Genomic DNA, 1376 nt, shown 5'->3' with positions numbered 1-1376 from the left:
TCATTTAATGATACTCCCTAAAGATCCTATTTTGACATACACTCACATTGGGGTTTGGGGCTTCAACAAATGAATTTTGGGGTCATTGTTCAGTCCAAAGTACTTAATATGACTCTTTTCCCTTTCCACATAGGCAGTGAGATAATCTGTAAGTAATGACTTATTTTTCCCTTTCAGTCATTAGGTTATATAAATATATATTTTCTTGCTTTACTGAATGGATTTTAACCTCCAGCACAACACCAACTAAAAGTAGTAATGTCAGCATAGTTGTCTTTGCAGTTGTGGTGAGATATGTGCTCTATTTTATTGGCTTGGCTGTAGGTTTTTATTTTTTGAAGCTTCTATCTCCTACAGGAATATATATAATCCCAGCACTTTGGAAGGCCGAGATGGGCAAATCACAAGGTCAGGAGTTCAAGACCAGCCTGGCCAACATGGTGAAACCCCATCTCTACTAAAAATACAAAAAATTATCTGGGCTTAGTGGTGGCCACCTGTAATCCCAGCTACTTGGGAGGCTGAGGCAGGAGAATCGCTTGCACCCGAGAGGCGGAAGTTGCAGCGAGCTGAGATCATGCCACTGCACTCCAGCCCTGGTGATGTAGCAGGACAAGCCACAGACAAAACTCCGCAGACACGGAGCTAAAGAAGGAAGAGGTTTATTCAGCCGGGAGCATCGGCAGGACTCCTGTCTCAAGAGCCGAGCTCCCCGAGTGAGCAATTCCTGTCCCTTTTAAGGGCTCCCAACTCTAAGCGGGTCCATGTGAGAAGGTCGTGGTCGATTGAGCAAGCAGGGGGTACGTGACAGGGGCTGCATGCACCGGTGCTCAGAGTGAAACAGAACCGACCGGGAAGTTTTACAATGCCTTTCCATACAATGTCTGGAATCCATAGATAACATAACTGGTTAGGTCAAGGGTCGATCTTTAACTACCAGGCTTAGGCCTGGTTTAGGGTCTGGTTCCTAGGCACCAGGCTACCTGCCTTTAGTTTTGCTTTTCTTTCTTTTTCTGAGTATAAAACAACATAAAACAATATGAGAGGGTCTGTCTTCTCTCATTTCCCGGCTTTGAGACTCTCACTTTTTATTAGTGGGAATTCTCACTCTTATTTTTGCTACTTATGTCTTCCTGTGCAATAGATTGATAATGATTCATACAGTACACTTGTGCTAATACATAACATGAAGGGACATTGAGAGACTGGGCTATATGCTCGGCTAATTGCAAAAACAAATTTCTTGTTTTTCCTGGAATTTCTGGTACTGGCACATTCAGTTCATCATAGAAGGTTTGAAATACTGGCTCAGGAGAGGGTTTATAAACTTTTCCTCAAACCACGATATTTACTTGAAGATCCAGTCCAGCTCCATC

General features: G+C 43.2%; 1 annotated feature.

Annotated features, from left to right (window-relative positions):
- Window positions 758-958: a silencer, noted in NCBI's record as "peak3345 fragment used in MPRA reporter construct". NCBI's record gives its function as "represses an SCP1 promoter by STARR-seq MPRAs in K562 erythroleukemia cells {active_cell/tissue: K562}" and the evidence as "EXISTENCE:reporter gene assay evidence [ECO:0000049][PMID:32103011]".

Source organism: Homo sapiens, chromosome 19, assembly GCF_000001405.40.
Source record: "Homo sapiens chromosome 19, GRCh38.p14 Primary Assembly".
Classification (NCBI taxonomy): Eukaryota; Metazoa; Chordata; class Mammalia; order Primates; family Hominidae; genus Homo; species Homo sapiens.
The sequence above is the reverse complement of the archived record's forward strand: the minus strand, read 5'-3'. Positions and strand labels throughout refer to the sequence as shown.